Source organism: Homo sapiens, chromosome 6, assembly GCF_000001405.40.
Source record: "Homo sapiens chromosome 6, GRCh38.p14 Primary Assembly".
Taxonomy (NCBI): Eukaryota; Metazoa; Chordata; class Mammalia; order Primates; family Hominidae; genus Homo; species Homo sapiens.
Window position 1 is genome coordinate 98,233,897 of NC_000006.12, and position 23,149 is coordinate 98,257,045.

Here is a 23,149-nt window from a genome sequence, read left to right on the forward strand (position 1 = left end):
ACCCCAACAGGCCCCAGTGTGTGCTGATCCTGCCCTGTGTCCAAGTGTTCTCATTGTTCAATTCCCACCTATAAGTGAGAACATATGGTGTGTGGTTTTCTGTCCTTGTGATAGTTTGCTAAGAATGATGGTTTCCAGCTTCATTCATGTCCCTCCAAAGGACATGAACTCGTCCTTTTTTATGGCTGCATAGTATTCCATGGTGTATATGTGCCACATTTTCTTAATCCAGTCTATCACTGATGGACATTTGGGTTCATTCCAAGTCTTTGCTATTGTGAATATTGCCACAATAAACATACGTGTGCATGTGTCTTTAGAGTAGCATGATTTATAATCCTTTGGGTATATACCCAGTAGTGGGATTGCTGGGTCAAATGATATTTCTAGTTCTAGATCCTTGAAGAATCGCCACACTGTCTTCCACAATGGTTGAACTAATTTACACTCCCACCAACAGTGTAAAAGTGTTCCTATTTCTCCACATCCTCTCCAGCATCTGTTTTTTCCTGACTTTTTAAGGATCACCATTCTAACTGGTGTGAGATGGTATCTCATTATGGTTTTGATTTGCATTTCTCTGATGACCAGTGATGATGAGCATTTTTTCATGTGTTTGTTGGCTGCATAAATGTCTTCTTTTGAGAGTGTCTGTTCATATCCTTTTCTCACTTTTTGATGGGGTTGTTTGTTTTTTTCTTGTAAATTTGTTTAAGTTCTTTGTAGATTCTGGATATTAGCCCTTTGTCAGATGGGTAGATTGTGAAAATTTTCTCTCATTCTGTAGATTGCCTGTTGTTTCTTTTGCTGTGCTGAAGCTCTTTAGTTTAATTAGATCCCATTTGTCTATTTTGGCTTTTGTTGCCATTGCTTTTGGTGTTTTAGTCATGAAGTCTTTGCCCATGCCTTTGTTCTGAATGGTATTGCTTTGGTTTTCTTCTAGGGTTTTTATGGTTTTAGGTCTTACATTTAAGTCTCGAATCCATCTTGAATTAGTTTTTATATAAGGTGTAAGGAATGGATCCAGTTTCAGATTTCTACATATGGGTAGCCAGTTTTCCCAGCACCATTTATTAAATAGGGAATCCTTTGCCCATTTCTTGTTTTTGTCAGGTTTGTCAAAGATCAGATGGTGTAGATGTGTGGTGTTATTTCTGTGGCCTCTGTTCTGTTCCATTGGTCTATATATCTGTTTTGGTACCAGTACCATGCTGTTTTGGTTACTGTAGCCTTGTAGTATAGTTTGAAGTCAGGTAGCAGAATGCCTCCAGCTTTGCTCTTTCTGCTTAGGATTGTCTTGGCTATGCGGGCTCTTTTTTGGTTCCATATGAACTTTAAAGTAGTTTTTTTCCAACTTTGTGAAGAAAGTCATTGGTAGCTTGATGGGGATGGCATTGAATCTATAAATTACCTTGGGCAGTATGGCCATTTTCACATTGACTATCCATGAGCATGGAATGTTCTTTCATTTATTTGTGTCCTCTTTTATTTCATTGAGCAGTGATTTGTAGTTCTCCTTGAATAGGTCCTTCACATCCCTCATAAGTTGGATTCCTAAGTATTTTATTCTCTTAGTAGCTATTGTGAATGGGAGTTCACTCATGATTTGGCTCTCTGTTTGTCTGTTATTGGTGTATAGGAATGCTTGTGATTTTTGCACATTTATTTTGTATCCTGAGACTTTGCTGAAGTTGCTTATCAGCTTAAGGAGATTTTGGGCTGAGACAATGGGGTTTTCTAAATATACAATCATGTCATCTGCAAACAGGGACAATTTGACTTCCTCTGAGAAAAGAGGTTTAATTGACTGACTGATGCACATGGTGGGGGAGGCCTCGGGAAACTTACTTTCATGGCAGAAGGTGAAGGGGAAGCAAGGTATGTCTTCACAAGGCAGCAGAGAGAGAGCACACAGGGAAAGGGCCAGACACTTATCAAAAAAACCAGAACTCAACTTTCTCACTATCATGGGAGCAGCGTGGGAGAAACAGCCCCCATGATCCGATCACTTATGACCAATTCCCTCCCTTGACATGTGGGGATTACAATTCAACATGAGATTTGGGTCAGGACACAGAGCCAAACCATATCAGGGTTACTCTGTGCCTAAATAATTCTCTATTGGAAGGACCTTGGAAGTCATCTGTTATGACCCGGTTTTGTAATCCATAGGGTCTAGTGTTAGGGAAATACATATCAAGAGAGGAAGGACTGCCTTTGCCTAGCCCCCATTTCTAGTTTGTTTTATGTTGCTCCATCATACTTTTAGATGCGAACATCCTCAAACTTGAGGGAGATTGTGACAAGCATAGCTTCTACCTTTAGAGTTAAGACTACCCTCTACGGTAGTTACCTCATATTCTAATATTCCCAGGAATAGTTTGAAGTCCTTAGTAAAAGTCAGACACCGCTAAGAAAACAAATGTTGTTCCATTGTGAAGTGGTAGACAGGGAGAGTGTTCTCACCCATGTCTGAGGTTCTGCATCTGCCATCTGTGCCCTTCCCTTGGTGGTTGGAGAAGTGTATGATGGGAAACTCCTGGAATATTAGAATAAAGGAGTCTAGCAGCAAATGGACAGATCAGTGCAGTCTTTCACACCAGGTTACAGAGGACAAGCTTGGCCTATTCAGTTCTGAGGTATCGGGGGGCACAGTTTGGAGTCTCAAAGCATTGAAGACTTCCAAACCAAGTTACACAGGACAAACTGGCCCTACTCAGTCCTGAGGGATCTAAATTATAGTTTGGATAGTCTTCCAATACAAGAGAAACCTCACATGTGAAGTTCTTTAGGATTTAGGAGTTAACAGAAGAAACACTAAGAACTGTCATGTCCACAAAAGAGAGAATTAGACAATGTTAGTTAAAAATACATAGAAACCCTGGGCTTTTACTACTAACAGGGAACAATGTGGGCTCCTAGGTCTCAGAGATGATAAATAAAAGCTTGGATATTTAAGGAAGCTAGTTCAGACAGTTTTGAGTCCTTCAGGAACAGACTCTCTCTAATGAGCTTATTTAAAGGCTGAATGAAACTCAACAATAAAATTGGCTTGAATGGAGAAGGCATAAGCATATGCACTGGCCTATCCCACTGGCAGGTCAATCAAAATGCATAGCCTATTTCTTTAAGTAAGGAGAGAATTATGTTATAGAATCTCACAACTGAAAGAAATTTTAAAGATTATCTATTGTGAGGACGTTTGAGGCGGGCTAGGTTCATTCATTCATTCATTAAATTACCCACTCATTTATTCATTTAACAAATATAAAATGAATATCTGGAGATGGCACTCCTGATGTTATTCTTTTCTTATAACTATAGCCTCCTGCTAGGAAGAGAAGAAACTTCATTGGTTCCCAGGCTGCCACCAAGCTGACTTGAGCTAATAGTCTCTATTATGATGACTTAAAAGAGACAAAGGTCCATAAAAGACAAGTGGCCACTGTTTATGATGGTATGCTTAGTGTTTCTTGGTTACCACTAGCACGAGGAAGTTGTGTTGTCAAGGCCAATAAAGAAAGCTTATATTAATTGATGTTCATGAAGTAGAGCAGTCAAAGAAAGTAGAGCATTGGAAAACACTGGCTCCTGGAACAGGAAGAAACCCAAATAGTTATAGATGCTCCTCCTCAAGTTACAGTGAGGTTATGTCCCAATAAACCCATCATAAATGGAAAATATCTTAAGCTGAAAATTCATTTAAAATACCTAACCTACCAAACATCACTGCTTAGCCTAGCCTACCTTAAATGTGCTCAGAACACTTACATTAGCCTAAAGTTGGACATCTAACACAAAGCCTATTTTATAATAATTGAATATCTCATGTAATTTATTAAATACAGTGCTGAATTGAATACAGTACTGACAGTAAAAAACAGAATAGTTCTACGTGTATTCAACGTGCAATTTCTACTGAACGTGTATCACTTTTGTATGACAGTAAAATTGAAAAATTGTAAGTCCAGCTATCTTAAGTTTGTAACTATCCATATATTTATTAAGCAGTTGCCTGAGAACAGGCCTATGATTGTGGAAGTGATGACACAAAAAAAGTTACTTTAAAAGTAATGGTCTTTGGCAAAATAGGCATAGGAAGTAGGATTATCCTGCAGGACTAGAAAGTACCAGTATTTAAACACACTCTGTTGAATGTCAATAACTTCAAGGATAAAGAAGGAAGTGAGAAAATAATCAGGCAGGAAAATATGATATGTATAAATATTATAAGGGGAACAAAAGTCTGGCCTCTAGCAGACCTGTTCATAACATTAGATGCTAAGAGACAATAGAGTAATATCTTTAGAGTTTTAAGATATAAAAGAATGTATAGAAATCATTTATATCCTGTGAAGGTGTCATTCATTTATGATGGCATGCTATTGTCAATGAAGTAAAATTCTATAATATGGAGTGGGAAATAATTATGAGTATAGGGAATCAGAGTACTATAAGTAATAAAAAATCAATTTAATAAATATATATCAAATGTTGTGTCCCACAGATGCTACATTCACTTATTCTCCTAAAGGTCTTTTCAACTCCCTGTCATGTATTGCTGGAATAGGGCCTAAGTTCTCTCTCTCTGTCTTCCAACCCTAATGTCTCTTCAGGATATTTATGAAAACTTATTTAAGCTTTTGAAATTAAAAGCGAACTCAGGAGAAAATTGTTTGCAGGCAAATTCTGCTTTCATCCAACCCTGAAGTAGTAAGTACAGGGTCTGTGTTATGGATAATAGCAGAAGAAGAAAGGGGAAAACCTAAGTGAAAACATAAATTAATAGTTCAAAAAAGGTACTTTCTCACAACATTGACTTTCTTATTATGAAAAATTTCTATGTAAGAAATAAAATACTGGGGTGGGGTAAATCTTCCAAATTTTGTCCTTGAATGCACACCATGGTTTTTTAATAACAAATAATGGTGACACACAATTTGAATAATGTATATATTTTTCCAATCATTAAGCAAATTATTCACAGTCTCTGTTTGGTGCTGACTTGATCCATGTTTCTCATTTCTTCGCACCAGCTTTCAGTGAGAAATAAACCAGATGCTCTTTTAAAAACATATTCCTAAAACTCTATGATTTTTAAAAGGCAATAGATAATTTTTTTTTCTGGAAAAGCACTGAAAGAAAAATGATTTAATTCTTAAAGAGGCAAATAAGTAAGGGAATTTCGGATCAGGTTTCACTAATGACTTAGAGGGTGAGACCTTAGAGGGACTCCTCAGCCAGTACTTGAAATGTTACAAAAACAACAGCACTCCAAGTCCCTGATTCTTGCCTTATGAATACAGATTTTGTTCTTGAGGGAGTCTGGATGTAAATCCGTCACCATCACGTGACAAATGATCCAGAGCACACATCCCTTACCAGTGGGTAAGTAACTTGTCTTTCACTTGGAAGCACAAAGCTCTCATTACCTGATTCCCTGATTTTTTTCATCTATCATGTTTCTCCCATGTGGTATGACTGTCTTTGAATCAGCAAGTGACTTCAGATGTGCTTATCTTTAAATGTCATATGTCCAACATGGAGCTGTTGAACTCCTTCATCCCAAACCTGTAGCTCTTTCTCATTGCAATAAAAGAGACCACTCTTTGCCATGTTGCTTAAATGACACCATCTGAGACTCATCCTTGATTCTTCTCTTTGCTTCACCCCTCACCACCAATCTTTTAACAAACTCTATCAATTCTGTCTCCAAAAGATATATTTGATCATCTCTGCTGCCATATTTCACACCAGGACTACAGCAACAACTTCCTCTATGGCCTCTCAGCTTCCACTCTTGCTCCTCTACCATCCATTTTCCATACAGCAGCCAGGATAAAGTTTTATAAACGTAAATCTGATTATGTTGATTCCTTGCATAAAAACTTTCGAGAGCTTCCTTCACTTTTAGAAGAAAAATTTAAACACTTAAAAGTGTTATGTTATCTGAGTACATCTCCAACTTGATCTCAAGCCCTTGTTTTCCTTGCACACTATTATTCTCTCATCACATTAGCCTTCTTTCTTATCTTCAAATACCCTTTTCCACATCAGAAACTACACTTAGCATTTTCTCTGATTGTATTTATCCGGTTTCTTCGTGATTGCTTATTGTCATTCTTAGCTTGAAAATCCCCTCCTCTAAGAGGACTTCCTGACCAGCTATCTTAAATTTCAGCCCACCTCTCTCCCTTTTGGTGCTTCCCTGACCATCACTCTTCAGTTTCCCCTCAATCTGTAATCTACTTGTTTATTTTTCTTTCTTATTCATCACTGCATTCCCAACTCTTAGCATAGTATGTATCACAAAATAGGTGCTGAGTAAATATTTGTTAAATATGTGAACTCCTTAATGCCTAGTATATTATCCTGCAAACTAAGAACCCATAGGAATGGTAGGACTGCTGACTACCACAGTGATGATAACGGTATTAACAAGGCTGTCCAGGAGAATCAGTGTTCCCCACATGATTCCTACAAATGTGATATTATTAAATATGAGACTCCCCAGATGACTCTAGGATTCATGGTTATTTTTCTTTTGTTCCATGACTAAACAACATTTTTGTGTTCTACCAGGAAGAAAAGCAGGCAGCTGTCAACACTTGTCAGCAAAGTTGGATAGAAAGGTTCTCCAGCCCTGCGCGGTGGCTCACGCCTGTAATCCCAGTGCTTTGGGAGGCCGAGGCAGGCGGGTCACCTGAGGTCAGGAGTTCAAGACCAGCCTGGCCAACATAGTGAAACCCCACCTCTACAAAAAATTGGCCTGGCGTGGTGGCACATGCCTTTAATCCCGGCTACTAGGGAGGCTGAGACATGATAATCACTTGAACCTGGGAGGCAGAGGTTGCAGTGAGCCAAGATCGTGCCATGGCATCCAGCCTGGGTGACAGGGTGAGACTCCGTTGAAAGAAAGAAAGAGAGAGAGAGAGACAGAATGAAAGAAAGAAAGAAAGAAAGAAAGAAAGAAAGAAAGAAAGAAAGAAAGAAAGAAAGAAAGAAAGAAAGAAGAGGGAGGGAAGGAAGGAAGGAAGGAAGGAAGGGAGAAAGAAAGAGAGAAAGGTTCTCCAAAGTCCTTACCCATGACTGGAACTATAATTCTCATTTTGGATTTAGCAATCACTGAATTGTATTTTATAAACTTCCTGATTCTCAGAGTCATTTGTATGAGATATTTGCCACTAACCTAAAGTTCTGCAATATTCTAGATTTAAGTATAGTAGACTTCTAATTGGAATATCTACTTTTGAATATTAATAACTATTTTTGATACAAAGCAGCATTATCATAAACAATTGAAACTCAGATAACAATGTCTAAACAAATTACAGAGAATATCTTACTATTTGAGATAATTTTTATTACATTTACCATCCATTAGCCCACAAAATATAGCAGTTTATAGTTAACAGTTATACCTGAAGAATAAAATAGATTTTAGTCTACATATAATTTTGATTTAAGTTACGGCTATATGTTGTAAATAGAAGTGATAAATAATATATGTATAGCAATTTATATGTTTTAAAAATCCATTCATCCAGGCATTTATTAAATACTTATTGATCCACTATCATCTTCTAGGCTCTAGACTAGATTTGGGGGATTCGATGATAAATAAGGTAGCTGGTGTGTTTCCTCCTGGAGCTTACAGTCTAGCAGAGAGGACACATAGCACTGCATGACTTTATGCAATTTACTTCATTCGCCAAATGAGAGGATATAGCTCATTTTGTGGGGAAGAGATAAGGTTGTCCATAAAGACTCCTGGAAGAAATGACAAGTACACTATAACAAAAGGGTCTATAGGATACTTATTGAGGCAGAATATAGGATACATGGTTACAGGCAAGGGAAGAGCATGTACAGAGGCCTGGAGGCAAAAGAGAGCACAGATAGAGGAACTGGAAGGAATACAGAAACATAGCATACATAAGAGGAAGTTGCAAAGAAATACTCGAAGGGTCTGGATGATGCAGGATCTTATGAGTATAGTTAAAGAATTTGGAGTTATTATAAAGACAATGTGATACAATTGGGAATAATATGATCAGGTTTATGCTTTAGAAGGTCCTTTCTGGAGGTATTGTTGCAAATAGATGGGAGGGAGAGGAGACACTAGGTAAGGAAGATGCCAAAAATAAAACCACTTTTAGTCAAAAATATAATGGGGTAAATTAAAATTAAATATAAATGCAATGACAACTCCAGACAGATGGTAAGGTTCACAGAGCCAAACTTGGATTCAAATGCATAAAAAACATAAAATTTGATCTAATCAAATGCAAGATGTATGCTAAATTCATGTTCTACTAAAATGTAAGACACTTAAATAAGGAAATAGAAAAGTAGAGCAAGTGAAACCACATTAGCACAATTACTCAGTGCCCATCTCATGCAGCCATATGATGTGCATTTTCCTCTAATATTATCCAAGTGGACACTGCTGCTGATGCCTCATCCCCAGGAAGGTGATGGCATAGTTTCTGTAACATTTCTCAACCAGTATCAGTGCAGCATTAATTCTTTATTCCACAAGTATAAAACTCTTTATAATCCTATTGTTCTTCAGGAAATTCAGAATAAAACTACTTGGTGCCAGATAATTATTTAAGGGTGTTATATAACGGCATGCCATTGCGTTCTTTCTCTGAATAATGTCACCAAACATGCACACCTTCACCTTGAATACTGATGACACAATGTTAGGATGTCACAGTTTAAAATGTACATAATTTATTTCCTTAACAATTTTACAACTGCGTAGCTTAAAAATGTTAAGAGACAACTATTTTGACTTTTTCTTTTTATCAGTTTGTTCAGCTTTCTCTAAAGAAAGGAGAAATACCTCATAAACACCTCCAAACGTGCACATATAGGCAGGGCAAACTTTTAACAGTATGAATTGAAATAAATTGTTAAGTGCATGTTCAGTTCCAGATTTTGAAGCAAAAATAACTTTGAACATTTTGGGGCTAGAATTAACAAATATTATAGAATTTCCTTCCCACATTTGAAATTTTAATTTCATAGTATTTTCAGTCCTCTGGGCTGAAACGAGGACCAGATAATATTTTAGCAAAAAAGGTGTTTTGTTTTCACGCTTTCATCATGCAAAAATAACCCAACTAATTTAGCCCTAACTTCCAAAAAATATTCAGTTTTATGCAGAAATCAACTATGTAGATCTCAGGCCAAAAGGAATATTTATCAGAAAACTCTGAAGCAAAGACTTTTATAAAAATATACTCTTCCATAAAGTTTTATTTTCAGTCATCTTTGACATGATGTAAATGAATTACTGCATTATTGCTTCCTAGTTATCTCTTATCTTTGCTGTGCCAGGAATTTGTGAGTTTTTTAATATAAATTTTGATCATTTAAAATTATAAACCCCTGGGGTCAGGCTTAAATATTGTAATTTTAAAATAATTATGAGGCCGGGCGCGGTGGCTCACGCCTGTAATCCCAGCACTTTGGGAGGCCGAGGCGGGTGGATCATGAGGTCAGGAGATCGAGACCATCCTGGCTAACAAGGTGAAACCCCGTCTCTACTAAAAATACAAAAAATTAGCCGGGCGCGGTGGCGGGCGCCTGTAGTCCCAGCTACTCGGGAGGCTGAGGCAGGAGAATGGCGTGAACCCGGGAAGCGGAGCTTGCAGTGAGCCGAGATTGCGCCACTGCAGTCCGCAGTCCGGCCTGGGCGACAGAGCGAGACTCCGTCTCAAAAAAAAAAAAAAAAAAAAAAAAAAAAAATTATGAAATATAATAGCATTTCACATTTTTGGTGCTCCCAAAATGCCAGAGACTATGCTAAATACTGTGTATATATCATCTCTTTTAAGTGTACCACAATCTGGAGAGGGAAGTATAATTGTTATCTCCAATTTGTAGGTAAAGAGACTAGCCCTTAATGGGATTAAATAATTTGTACTAAGTAATACTAAGCAACTGTATTTACTGGGTGATGGAGTCACGATTCCCCTACCCCATGCCTCTCTGACTCCATACTCCACTTGAAAGTAGCATCCTCTTTTAGAACAGCCCCAATATAGCCCTAATCAATATAGTTATAGACGCTTCCCCAGAACAGACAGAAAAATAGTCAGCAGGTTCATGAAAAATGTTAAACATTACTAATCATCAGGAAAATGCAAATCAAATCACCATTTCACTTCACACCTGTCAGAATCACTAGTATAACAACAGCAACAACAACAAAAAAACAGAAAAGTATTGGCAAAGATATGGAAAAATTGGAGCCCTTGTACACTGTTGGTGGGAATGCAAAGTGGTGCAGCTGCTAAGGAAATTCCTCAAAAAATTAAATATAGAACTATTCTATAATCCAGCAATGTCACTTCTGGGTATTTATCCCAAAAAAGTAAAATTAGGAGAGCAAAGGTATATTAGCACTCCGAGGTTCATTGCAGCACTATCCACAATAGCCAAGACATGGAGACAACCCAAATGTCCGTGGATGGGTGAATGCATAAAGAAAATATAAGATACATAGACAGTGAAACATTATTCAGCCTCAAAACAGAAGAAAAATCTACAATATGGACGACATAGATAAAGCTTAAGGACATTATTCTAACTAAAATAAGCCAGTCACAGAAAGAGAGATACTTCATGATTCCACTTACATAAGGTATCTAAAATAGTCAAATTCATGGAATCAAAGAGTGAAATAGTGATTTTCAGAGGCTGGGGGAAGGAGGAAATAGGGAATTGCTAATTAATGGGCATAAAATTTCAGTCAAGCAAGATAAATAAGCTCTAGTAATCTGCTATACAACATTGTACCTATAGTCAATAATAAAGTATTCTACACTTAAAAATGTGTAAAGAGGGTGGAGCTCATGTTAAGTGTTCTTACCACAATAAAATAAAATACAAAAATAGCATGAACAGGAAGAACAACAATGGTAATAAAATAGTGTGTATTATAATAATATATAATATATAACAAGTATTATAATAATATAAGTATAGATGAAATGCTGAACACTCAAACCTTCTGTTAAATTACATAGACATTAAAATGATCTATTGTGTTAAGTTCTAGTGTGAATTAAGTCAACAGATTTTTTAAAAAACAAATTATATTTTTATGGCATTTTAATACTGACAAAAAGTATCAGCTCAATTATAGCAATATATCATTGTAGCTATTAAGACACTTTGGCCAAAATCTAAAGCCAGCAGTGACCATTCTAAAGACTTTGAATCAGCACAGAAGGTATGCTTTATCTAGCTTTTTTTTAAGGTTTTTCACTTACCCACCTATTCTGAGCACCTTAATACTAGGTTACTGGCATTATTTTAGGTACTAGAATGAGGGACATTAAGGTAAGTAGTAGAAATGTTGTCCTTAAGGGACTTACATGCTACACATATAATAGGGTGAATTAAACAAATAGGGAATTTCAAGAGTGTGGATTGGATTGCTAATGGTAAAATTATGTATTGAGCCAAGGAGATGTGAAGCAGGGAACACATAATTCGGTCATGAGCCGTGGCCTACAGGGCCAGTGCGACTTGCTCTGAAGTTGCATTCCAACTTTAGCTCATTTTTACACTTCCTCTTCCTCAGTTTGCTCCTGCCACCCTTGGACCGTGTATCTATTTCTTAAGATTCTGAACTCTTGGAATCTTACCCCTGCCTGGACACTCTGGCCAGAAGTGTGCTTGTCAGCTTATTCTTACCTTTCAGGATTCAGCTCTAATGTCACCTGGTCAGGAATGCCATCCATTAACCTTCTTTCTTTATATATATATATATATATATATATATATATATATATAATTTTTTTTTTTTTTTTTTGAGACGGAGTCTCGCTCTGTCGCCCAGGCCGGACTGCGGACTGCAGTGGCGCAATCTCGGCTCACTGCAAGCTCCGCTTCCCGGGTTCACGCCATTCTCCTGCCTCAGCCTCCCCAGTAGCTGGGACTACAGGCGCCCGCCACCGCGCCCGGCTAATTTTTTGTATTTTTAGTAGAGACGGGGTTTCACCTTGTTAGCCAGGATGGTCTCGATCTCCTGACCTCATGATCCACCCGCCTCGGCCTCCCAAAGTGCTGGGATTACAGGCGTGAGCCACCGCGCCCGGCCTCTTTATATATTTTTTTGAAACGGAGTCTCACTTCATCGCCCAGACTGGAGTGCAGTGAGTGGCACAATCTCAGCTCACTGCAACCTCCACCTTCTGGGTTCAAGCAATTCTCCTGCCTCAGCCTCACGAGTAGCTGGGATGACAGGTGCGCCCCACTACCCCTGGCTTATTTATTTATTTATTTATTTATTTATTTAATTTATTTTTTAGTAGAGACAGGGTTTCAACATATTGGCCTAGGCTGTTCTCGAACTCCTGACCTTGCGATTCACCCATCTCAGCCTCACAAAGTGCTGGGATTACAGATGCAAGCGACTGCGCCCAGCCACATGAACCTTCTTTCTACTAAAGTGGTGCTGGTTTTGGCTTTGCACCAAAGTTGTTCTTCTTCTATCACTCTCTGTCATGGAACTCTGTTTTTGTTTGTTTGTTTGTTTGTTTTCCTTTTATAGCCCTTAAAACAATCTTATCACATAATGTAGTAAGTTTCTTTTGGGATATTTTGAGTATGAGATAACTGTGAGAGTGATTAGATGTTCATCACAGATAAGTGATTAGGGTAAGAGATATCAAAGACTTAACCATCAGGGATCATGCCCAGGCAAAATTGAGAACTTCATCTACTGCTAAGAGGCACTCCTGTGCACATATCCTAGAAGTCAACAACCAACTCTAGATTCAGATGAAACTTGGAAGGCAACTGAGGGGTCATTGGCACTTGGTTCTAATTCAGTAGGTTTGAATTAAGTACTAGAACCTATTCCCAAAGTTTCTTCAAGATTCGTCTGATGACCTGCCTCTTTCCAAATATGGTTATCTCTTTGACAAGATCTCTATAGAATAATTATCTCATTACTGCTCCAACATTTTGAATAATATTAATAACTTAATACTTCAAAAGCACATACGGATGCTTGAAGCATGAAATCTTGATGTTCTTCCAAAACATAGCCTAAATTAGCCCTCCCGTAACTTATAACCACTAATTCTGCTCTCAGATTTAAGTCTACACCTCAACACTTCCCTAAATGTTTCATTTCACATGACAGCACATATTAGAAGACAGTTATCACCTTTTCCACTAAATTTTCTATCTTCAGGTTAAACATCTTCACTTCCTTTCACTTTTTTTTTTCCTTCCAAGGCAACAGATATTTGAATTACTAGTACATATTGGACCCTGGACTAGGCACTAAAATAACATGGTTTTATTTTCTTTACAATTATAGTATTTTGCACTATCCTGCACCTGCAATCTGCATTATGCACACTATCTTGAGATCAAATTGCCCCAAAATGTGGACACTACACATTTAGTAATGTACTTTGTTAGCTTATTGGCTTGAATAGTCACATTAACTTGTATTTCCTACTTGCCTAAACTTGTCATTTTCGTATCTTCATCACGAGTTTGCCATATTTGGACACTACCTCTACAGACTTGATGGTTTTCTTTAACTCTCTTTTGTACCTACATATGTTTTCAAAAGAAGTTTTAAGGTCAGTGTCATAAATAAAACACCAGTATCACTGTATTAATGTAAGGAAACTATAAAATAAAGGCAATAAATATGTTATTAAAATTCAAAATAAAAATTAACTCCATGTATCAATAAATATAGTTAATATTTTAAATTACTACTTTAAAAATCTCTCAGTGAAAGGAATGGAACTATTTTTACTAGTTACTGATTTTATAAGAAAGGTACTAAATCAATAAGAAACGGTATCTTTAGTTTTGATATTAATTATCTCCTTAAATTTTTATTCATATATATCTAGATAAAAAGGTAATGGTAACATTAGCCGTATTATAATTTAAACTATTTATGGCAATAGGTGGCTTTTTGATCAATAGTGAGAAGGTGCAAAGCCAAAAGCTTGGTCATGATACTTGGTAACTGAGCTCAGCCTTCACTCCTGCTGCAGGAGACAAGAACGTAAGAAACCTGTGAAATGAAAAAGCTCCCAAGGACAGCATGCTAGACACATGCATTAGCTTTTATCCCCTCCCTCCACAGTCCACTCCAGAAAAACCCTACTAAGACCACAGTAACAGAACAGGGAAGAGGCCAGGCACGGTGGCTCACACCTGTTATCTCAGCACACTGGGTGTGGATCATTTGAGTCCGGGAGGTCGAGACCAGCCTGGGCAACATGATGAAATCCCGTGCTACTAAAAAACAAAATGCCAAAAAATTAGCCAGGAGCCTATGGTCCCAGCTACACTGGAGGCTGAGGTGGCAGAATCACCTGAGCCTGGGAGGCAGAGGTTGCAGTGAGCTGAGATCCCACCACTGCACTCCACCAGCCTGGGCAACCAGAGTGAGACCTTGTCTGAAAAAAAAAAAAAAAAAAAAAAAAGGACAGGACGAGAGGAGCTCACAGAAACAAAGAAATTGGGCAAGAGGCAGTAGCAACAACTGATAAATAGATGGAAAGGTTGTAACTGATTTAATAGACCTGAAAAGCTGAATCCTAAATTAGCTGTGGGACAAGCCAAGAAGCAACCTCACTTAAATTGTACTGAAAAATTCTCAGAAGGCTCAGAAGCTGGGTGATACTTCTGAAAGCATTTTAGCATGGAGCTAAAAATTTTTAAAAATGGTTAAAAGTTTATTTAGGAAGCAAGATTATTTAGATTTCCCCAAGAAACTGCTTACCAACTGGAAGATGTCTGGAAGTTTATTCTCTAGAAAGAATAAAACTGAGGTCTGGATCAAGGGACACTAAGCACAGGCAAGGTCAGGAGTACCTTACTGAAATCAAAGTCATCAGTGAGTGTTTTCATCCTGAATGTTGAATCCTCAGCCTTATTCTTCACCCAGGTCCCAAAATGTTAGCAGTCATGTTTATGTCATCCAAGCAGGAAACTGGAAGAAATTCTTCTGAAGAATTTGACCCTAGCCAGCTCCAAAGAAAAGTCCTAAAGATATTTACATCCAGGTTGCCCCTCTAAACATAATTTTCTGCATGACAATTCTTACCAGTGAGTCTGATTTTAGTGTGGCACTGGTCTTAGTACCACTGACCTAGTCAGCTCTTTTCAGAGAATAATCTTCCAGTCATCTGCCAGTGGTGAAGGGGATATCTTGGAGTCCTAAATAAACTTTTCACCATTTTTAAATTTTTTAGCTCAGAACTCATTTTTAACAATGCCTATTTACACATGCAGTGGTTCCATCTAGCTTTCTTTTTGCCTACTCTGATAATAGTAGACACTTGAGAAAAGCCTTTATTGTGAGAGGAAGACCAGAGCAAACAATTAAAATAAAGCAACCACTGCTATGAGCAACACACATTAGGAGATAGCCATTTGGTCCTTTTAAATCCTCAGGTTTACATTTAATAATCAACAAACGATATTAACCTGCAAGCAGTTACTGATTCAGATAGAAGGAGATCGTGATATGAGCCATTTTACTGAAAAACTTGGGTGAGAGAATATCACTTAAGGATCTGGCTAAAAGGGTTTGCTAACACTGTCTATGCTAGCCACCCACTCACAGACTCCCAGGCTAGGCATGGGAGACCATCTAGAGAAAAATTTCCATCCGCAAAGCAGGCAAAATACACTCACCCAGGATTGCTCTCTCAAACTGGTCTCAGGTAGAAGCAGACAGGGGATCCCCAGAAAGCATGATTTTTTCATGAAATTGTTCTATCCAATAACTGACTTGGGGTGGGGGGAGTGAAGCTACTAATGGCCGTCATCCACCAATCTAGAAGCACCCTCTCCCACAATGGACAGAAGTGAGTGAGAAAGAGAAGCAGAGGCCAGCAATGCTACTCCAGTGGAAGTAGCTGCACAGAAACCTGAAGGGAAATGAGTATTCCCCTATAACACCTGCTGTGTTCTAGTCTCCTTTCCATGTGAACTGAAAGCAGATTCATCATTTTCAACAGTGTCATTATTCAACTTACATTTATTTCAACTCATTTTTTCACCTAATCACTTTTGGACAATTTTTTCCAAAATGTCGACGTATGTTCAAAATCTGAATTTTATAATAGAGAACTTACCTACCATATTTTAAAATCATGAATTCAATATCTTATCCTTTCTACATATGTATCTAAATATAAAATAGTACTATAAGATATAGCTAATGACAGGACCTTATTGCTTCATGGTAACAGTGTTACATCGGATGATTCTTTTGGATATGGCCATTTGGCCAGTTATAAATCCACTTACCTAAACAGTTTAGTCCAAGTGTCTTACCAACAAGATAAGTCATCTTATCATCATGGAAATATTAAGAAATTTGATCAAATATTGTTCTGAGATTCATATTTTCATGTCTGCTGCAAATTTCTCATTTATGTTGTAATCACATTTTTCAAAAAAGAAAAGCATAAGAGAAACAAAAGGGACTTCTATAAGTGATTTGTACTAGATGAATCCTTTCCAGCTAGTAATGAGCATCACTTCCTTTTCCTAAGAAAATAATCTTTAAACAAACTTTTCTGGAACTTTATCAGTGACAAGGTTATACCCACTTACCTGTAATTTCCATATCTGGCCTTTTTGTTCTTTTTGAAAATCAGAGAAATGTTCCCATATCTGGTATTCTAGCTAGCTTTTTTTTTTTTTTTGTCAAGCGTTATCAATTGAGGCTCTGCAGTCACGTCTGTAACTTATTTCAGTTTTGTAGGATGAAATTCACCCAGCCTAGATATTTGGATTCATTTAAAGAATCTCAGTACTTCCTTACTGTCTTCTCACATTTACCTCTTCATCATTTTTACCCTTTCCAGTTTGCAAGTCATTCTCCTTGAAGAAAAAAGACAAAAGCATAATACTTGTGTAGTTTTGCTTTTTCTGTGTCAGCTGTCAACTCAATCTCTTTCCTCAGTAATAGAATGATATAATATCTTTGTAGAGTCTAAAAAATCCTTTTTGCTCAGCATTTGTCTTTTAAAAAATGTCTAGGAGAAGAGAAAGAAACTGTAGCAGGATTCTTTGTATCATTAATGTATGCATTCATTTACTTGCTTGCCCATTGAGTCATTCATGGGAGAGTGATTAGGCAGCAATTTGCAGATATTGTGTTGTATATGAATGATGGAGACTTAAGACTGATATCACCCCTGGCCTCAAAAGGCCTCATGGTTTAGTCACTGGGGTTGTGTTAGGGTTAGGGAACAGGGATGGGAATGGGGCATCACAGATCAGAAAAGTAAACCAACAAAGAGAATGGAGAGTATTAAGTACTTCAGCTCAGTGCCAAGGGAAGGACACTTGGCCAAGGACAGTGCTTATGATGGGAGGCTGTGAGCAGAAGAGCCAGAGAAAGCTTCCAAGTGGAGTTGACCTCTGAGCTCAATCCTGAAAGATGAGTAGGGGATACACTTCTAGACAGGATGGCGAATATCAGAGTAGGTAGAAGAGATGACAAATGGTTAGAGAGATCAGGACCCATTTAAAAATCTCTGTCATTAGACCTGGCATCTAGTGAAGTTGAGCAGCAAGAAGGCATGCCCTTTCTTAGTGACACTTTCTTTAAACATATAGTTTTCAGGTAGCTAGTTCAGATTTTCTCAAGTGTTCTTTATTTTGCTTTCTTACATGCTGGTTGAGAACTTGTATATAGGAAGTGATCTAAAACTTCATGCTGGTCTTGTTCACAGCAAATTTGTAACACCTTCTGAAAAGCAATGTCTTTCTTCAAAGGCTTGGCACAGTGAACATCTTTTGTCTTGGAATGGTCTCATTTCAGATGTTCTGTTGTCTTTTATGAATATACTTGTCCCACTGTTTACAAAACAGAGACCTTTATATAAGAGAATACTGGAATTATTGTAAACCAGGATTTTAAATATCTCAGAGAGCAGAGAAAAATAAATAATGAAAAATAGAGTTGATAACACAGCCAACACAGTACTTCTGTAATTTTTTCATAATATTTCTTGTTAGTCTAAAAGGAGAATTTTGGTTGTTTTAGATTATTATTCATAGAAAATCATCTTCCCAGATAGATGACAGAAATGCTCTCCCCCAATTTGTTACTAAAACACATAAGAAAATATTGAAACATTTACACATGTACACACTTCTATCGAAAACTAGCACTAAGACCCCACCCCATTGCCAGAATTTTAGTAGGAGTTTTACCAAAACAAACCTAACAAAAAATATTTTACAATTATAAACAATAGTTTATCCTTATGTTTTGCCACCACAAAGTATGTAGGTAGCTTCCTCATGCCTTCTCCATTTTGGTTTCACAGTTGCTCTGTGATCTCTGTTCAGAAATGTAAATCTTCACAAAAGAAAAATGAATAAAAATAAATGGCCCAACTTGGCATTGTTACTTTGAATGAGGTGTTCAGTTTGCCATTTCACCTCAGGTACTCTTTCTATGAGCGAGACACAGCAATTCCTAGGTAATAACTCTCCAGAAAAGAGGCAGGGCATTGTGTTTGACCTGATAACTCTGGAAACAAATGTCCAGCCAGACGACTCCAGCCCGTGAGTATAAAATGATGTCACATTAATTTTATGCCCACATTACACTGACTTGAGGCCCTTTGGCTTAATGATTAGGTGTCAATACAATCTCCTCACAAATTATCCTGGTAGAATTTTCCTGGAAAGATTTCTTGAATCCCCAAAGCAGTGCGTATAACATGTGTTCACAAACAAGTTCTGTTAACTACCATCCCTAAGTGGCATCTGTTATATTATTTTTTTCTGCTACAACTGTATGTGGCTCAGGTCTTCAACCTTTAATCCAGCTGGAGAAGCCTCACAGGTGGTACCGTTGATATACCAGTCAAAAGATTGCCAGTATCGATGTCAAAGGTTTAAATAAATGAAGATCTCCAGGTTCTTATAACCCTTCTGAGAATCAGTAGGTTTTAAATGGAGGTGAAAAAAATGCCCCTCTATCAAGATTTCAGCCATATTTAATTACTTGGGCTCCTTAGCAACTTGGATCATGACCTGACTACTACAAAATTATTTCCTCAGTGTCCGTGCTCAGCTCTGCTTTTTTTCACATGTAGGCAACTTTCAACCTGTGCCACTCACAAGAGATCATTTCCTTATCTCCTTCCTCTTCACCCCAAATCACCCTTCTCTGCAGGAACAAGCAAGCAAGCAACAGTTCTGACAAAATTTATTTTATAATTGACAAAAATTGTATATATTTATGGTGTACAGCATATTTTGTTATGCATATACATTGTAGAATGGCTACATCAAATTATTTAACATTAAATACTTATATTTTGGTAGTGAGAACACAAAATCTACTCTTTCAGCAATTTTAAAACATGTAATACATTGTTATTAACTAATAGGAAGCATGACGTACAGTAGATCTCTTGAACTTATTTCTGATGGCTAACTGAAATTTTGTCTTCAAGCCATCTCTCCAATTCCTCTACCTCTCAGCTGCTGCTAACCACCATTTTACTCTGTATCTAAGAGTTTAACTTTTTTACACTCCACATATAAGTGAGATTATATGGTATTCATCTCTCTTCTTTTGGCTTATTTCACTTAACATAATGTCTTTCAGGTTCATCCCTGTTGTCTCAAACGACAGAATTTTCTTCTTTTTTAAAGATTGAATAGTGTGGCTCAGGTCTTCAACCTTCCATCATGTATATATACCACATTTTCCATATCCATTGATCTACTGATAGACATTTAGGTTGATTTTGTATCTTGGCTTTTGTAATTAATGCTGCAATAAACATGAGAGTGAAACTATCTCCTTGACATACTGATCTCATGTCCTCTGGGTATATGCCTAGTAGTAAGATTGCTGGGTCATCCAGTAGTTCTGTTTTTCATCTTTTGAGGAAACTCCATGTTTTCTATAATGGCTGTACATCCCCACCAACAGTGTGTAAAGGTTTCGTTCCCTCCACATCCTTGCCAACACTTGTTATCTTTTCTCTTTTTGATAATAACCATTTTAACAGATGTGAGGTGATATCTCATTGTAGTTTTATTAATAATTTGCATTTACCTAATAATTAGTCCGGTTGAGCATCTTTTCATTAGTCTATTGGCCATTTGTATAGCAAAGTCTATTTTAGAGTATACTCTACAAAAAAAAATTTCTCCTCAACTGTACCCAACCTCCACTCAAAAGGTCCCAAATCAAATATATAACACCACACATAACCTTAAACAAACAATCAAGTACAAATTGCCACTGCTACATTACCAACTGGAAAACCGAATATCATCAATAGCGAATTTTTAGTTTTCCTCAAGAATATTGACAAGTATATGACAGATTATTTTCTGAAAAGAGCACAACTGTACGTGCCATCCCACATAATCTTCTTGCAATGTGACTTTGACATGGGTCTATGCTCCCATTCCTTAAACTTGGGTGGATTTGTGACTACAGCAGAAGTGACACTGTGTGATTCCCAAGGATAGCTTTTAAAAGATAATACTGTTTCCACCTGATTATCTTGGGGATGCTTGTTCCTGTAATACAGCCAGGATATAGTGAGAAAGCCCAAGCAGCTCACAGAGAGGTCCACGTAGAGACGAAACAAGGACCCTTGTCCACATCCTGGCTGAACTCCCAGCACCAACCTGCCCTGACTCCCAGTCAATCTACCTCACCTGACACAACAGGGAGCAGAGATAATCTGCACCTGCTGGGCTTTGTTTTCTGAGCTCAAAATTGCTCATTTGTGAACAAAATATATGATTGTTTTTGTTTGAAACCATTGTGTTTGAGGGTGGTATGGTATGGAGCAATAGGTAACTGAAACATAGTTTAGTACCTGGAAGTAGGGTGCTCCCGAAATAAAAGTTGTAAAATGTGTCGCAATACTTTTGTGATCAGCCAGCAAGTATAAGCTGCACGGTCTCAAGGACAACTAGTGAAAACTCAAGGGCTTCAAAGAGAGAGTTAGAAAAAGCCTTAAGAGATTAGAGGAGGTTGTCAGTGAGAGCTTCAAAAAAAGTGGGGAAAATGTTGTTGGACACCAGAAAAAAGAGGACCTTTCATATGAAATGGCAGGAAATGTGACAAAACTGTTGTCTCGATTAATGTGAAAAAATAAGAAATCTGTAGAAAGACATTTATGATATGAGGAAATTTTCAGGAAAAAAAATGTCTTGGAGATGGCAGCTGACTTCTTCCAGCTGTCTAGACTAAAATGGGAGAGACAAGAGAAAACAGAAGAAAATAACTGATCATTTTTTAAGGAAAATTTGAGGAAGTATAAATGATCCAGGACCTTCAGGGATTCCAAAATAAAACTTTTCCTCATTCCCATTCTCTCCTAATTGGCAAAATGCTCTCAAATTAAGAAATTGCCTTTGGTCTAATATCAAATCCAAGATCATCTGTAAGATCCTTCATTACAATCTGAGAAACATTTAAGGTGATGCTGCAGAGTTGCCCCTTACCTCTATATGAGATTTGGAGGTTTCAAATCCCCACCTGTATAAGATTTAAATGCCTTGAATGCTGGTCTCCCATTCAAGGCATTCAAATTCTATCATATATCTGAATGCAGTCAACTTTTCCTGAATGCGTACTCATCTGTACTACCCTGGGAAAATCCTGTACCATTTGATTTATGCCTTTCCATAAGATAGGTATAGAGTCCCACCTAGGCTCAATGGATGCCTACAAATGCTGTGAAGATGACTATCTTGTAGTTGTCTTAACCTGTTTCTACCAATTGCTGTCCAAACTATAGATTTGGGAGATTTTTTGTTTGTTTTGTTTCTAGTTTGAGGTTATTATGCAGCAGTTATATAAGTGAAGCTTTACATTTGGATTGAATGGTTTCTGATAATTTCTCTAAAATGAAAATCCCCACAGACGTGAATAATGCCAATGGTAATAAAGTTAGTTAAAATGTTTCAAGCTACACATCACAACATTATTTAAGTAATTATTCAATTAGTTAATATAATAATTTAGAAAGCATTATTATTATAAAGTGCATGAGAAAAAAGATGCAACCATATTTTTGTACATATGACTATCTCTATGATGAAATAAGTATTTAAAAACCCCAAAAAACAAATAATATGCATGGATAAAATAGTGAAAAGGCATTCAAGAAATTCCCTAAAATGATGAGATTATGGATAGTCTTGTTCATCTTTTTTTCTATCTTTCAGTAATTTCCAACATTTCTAAAATATACATTATTATATTTACAGTGAAAACACACCATATGCCAATTTACATAAAAACTCAGTGATTTTATGGAACTTCAGCACAAAGCAAAATTATAGCTCTTTGCCGTTTAGTTGTCATTTCAGGGTTTCAAGGCAAATAAAACATAAAATATTTGTTTTACTTTCTTGAAAATATTTGTAAAATATGCCTGGGTGAAACTGTTTTTCGTTTTTTTATTTTATTTCCCAAACCTTCTTTAGACAAAATTTTAAAATTTTTCTTAACTCCACAAGAGCAGAGATATACCTTCTTCATCTTTCTATGTATATACCTAATTACACATATTACAAAATGCCCTTTCAATAAATATTGTTGCCTGAATATATGAATTCTTTTTGATGGCTCCTGTTCTTTCTCACAACAACTTTATGTGTCCTGTAACACTTGGGGAGATAAATATATATCTTTTTCATGCTTAAAGAGCTGCTCTTCTGCGATACCTTTGACTCCCTTCCCTGTGCAGATAATTCATCAGTCTGTATCTTCATTCCTGTCTCCTCTTCCAGTCCTGCATTTCTCAGTGCTCCGTTAACATCTTCAGTGGGCATGCTCATATATCGTAGCCTTCATTATTTCTGAAAATTCCATGCTGAGTTTCTCATCTCCATAATATGCAAAAGTTTTTCTCACTTTTTCATATTTGCTGTTCGATTGTAACCAGAATACTCAAAAATTGTATATCTGTGTCTTCCAACTCATCACTACATTTTCCTTATTTCCTCCCCTGCCTACAGTCCTTGGAGTAAAAATGATAAAATAATTTGTTTAGAGTGAATCAACAACTCAAGCACTCCACTCTGAATGCATAGAGAAGGCACTCAGTCAAATCCTAATTCATTTCACCCT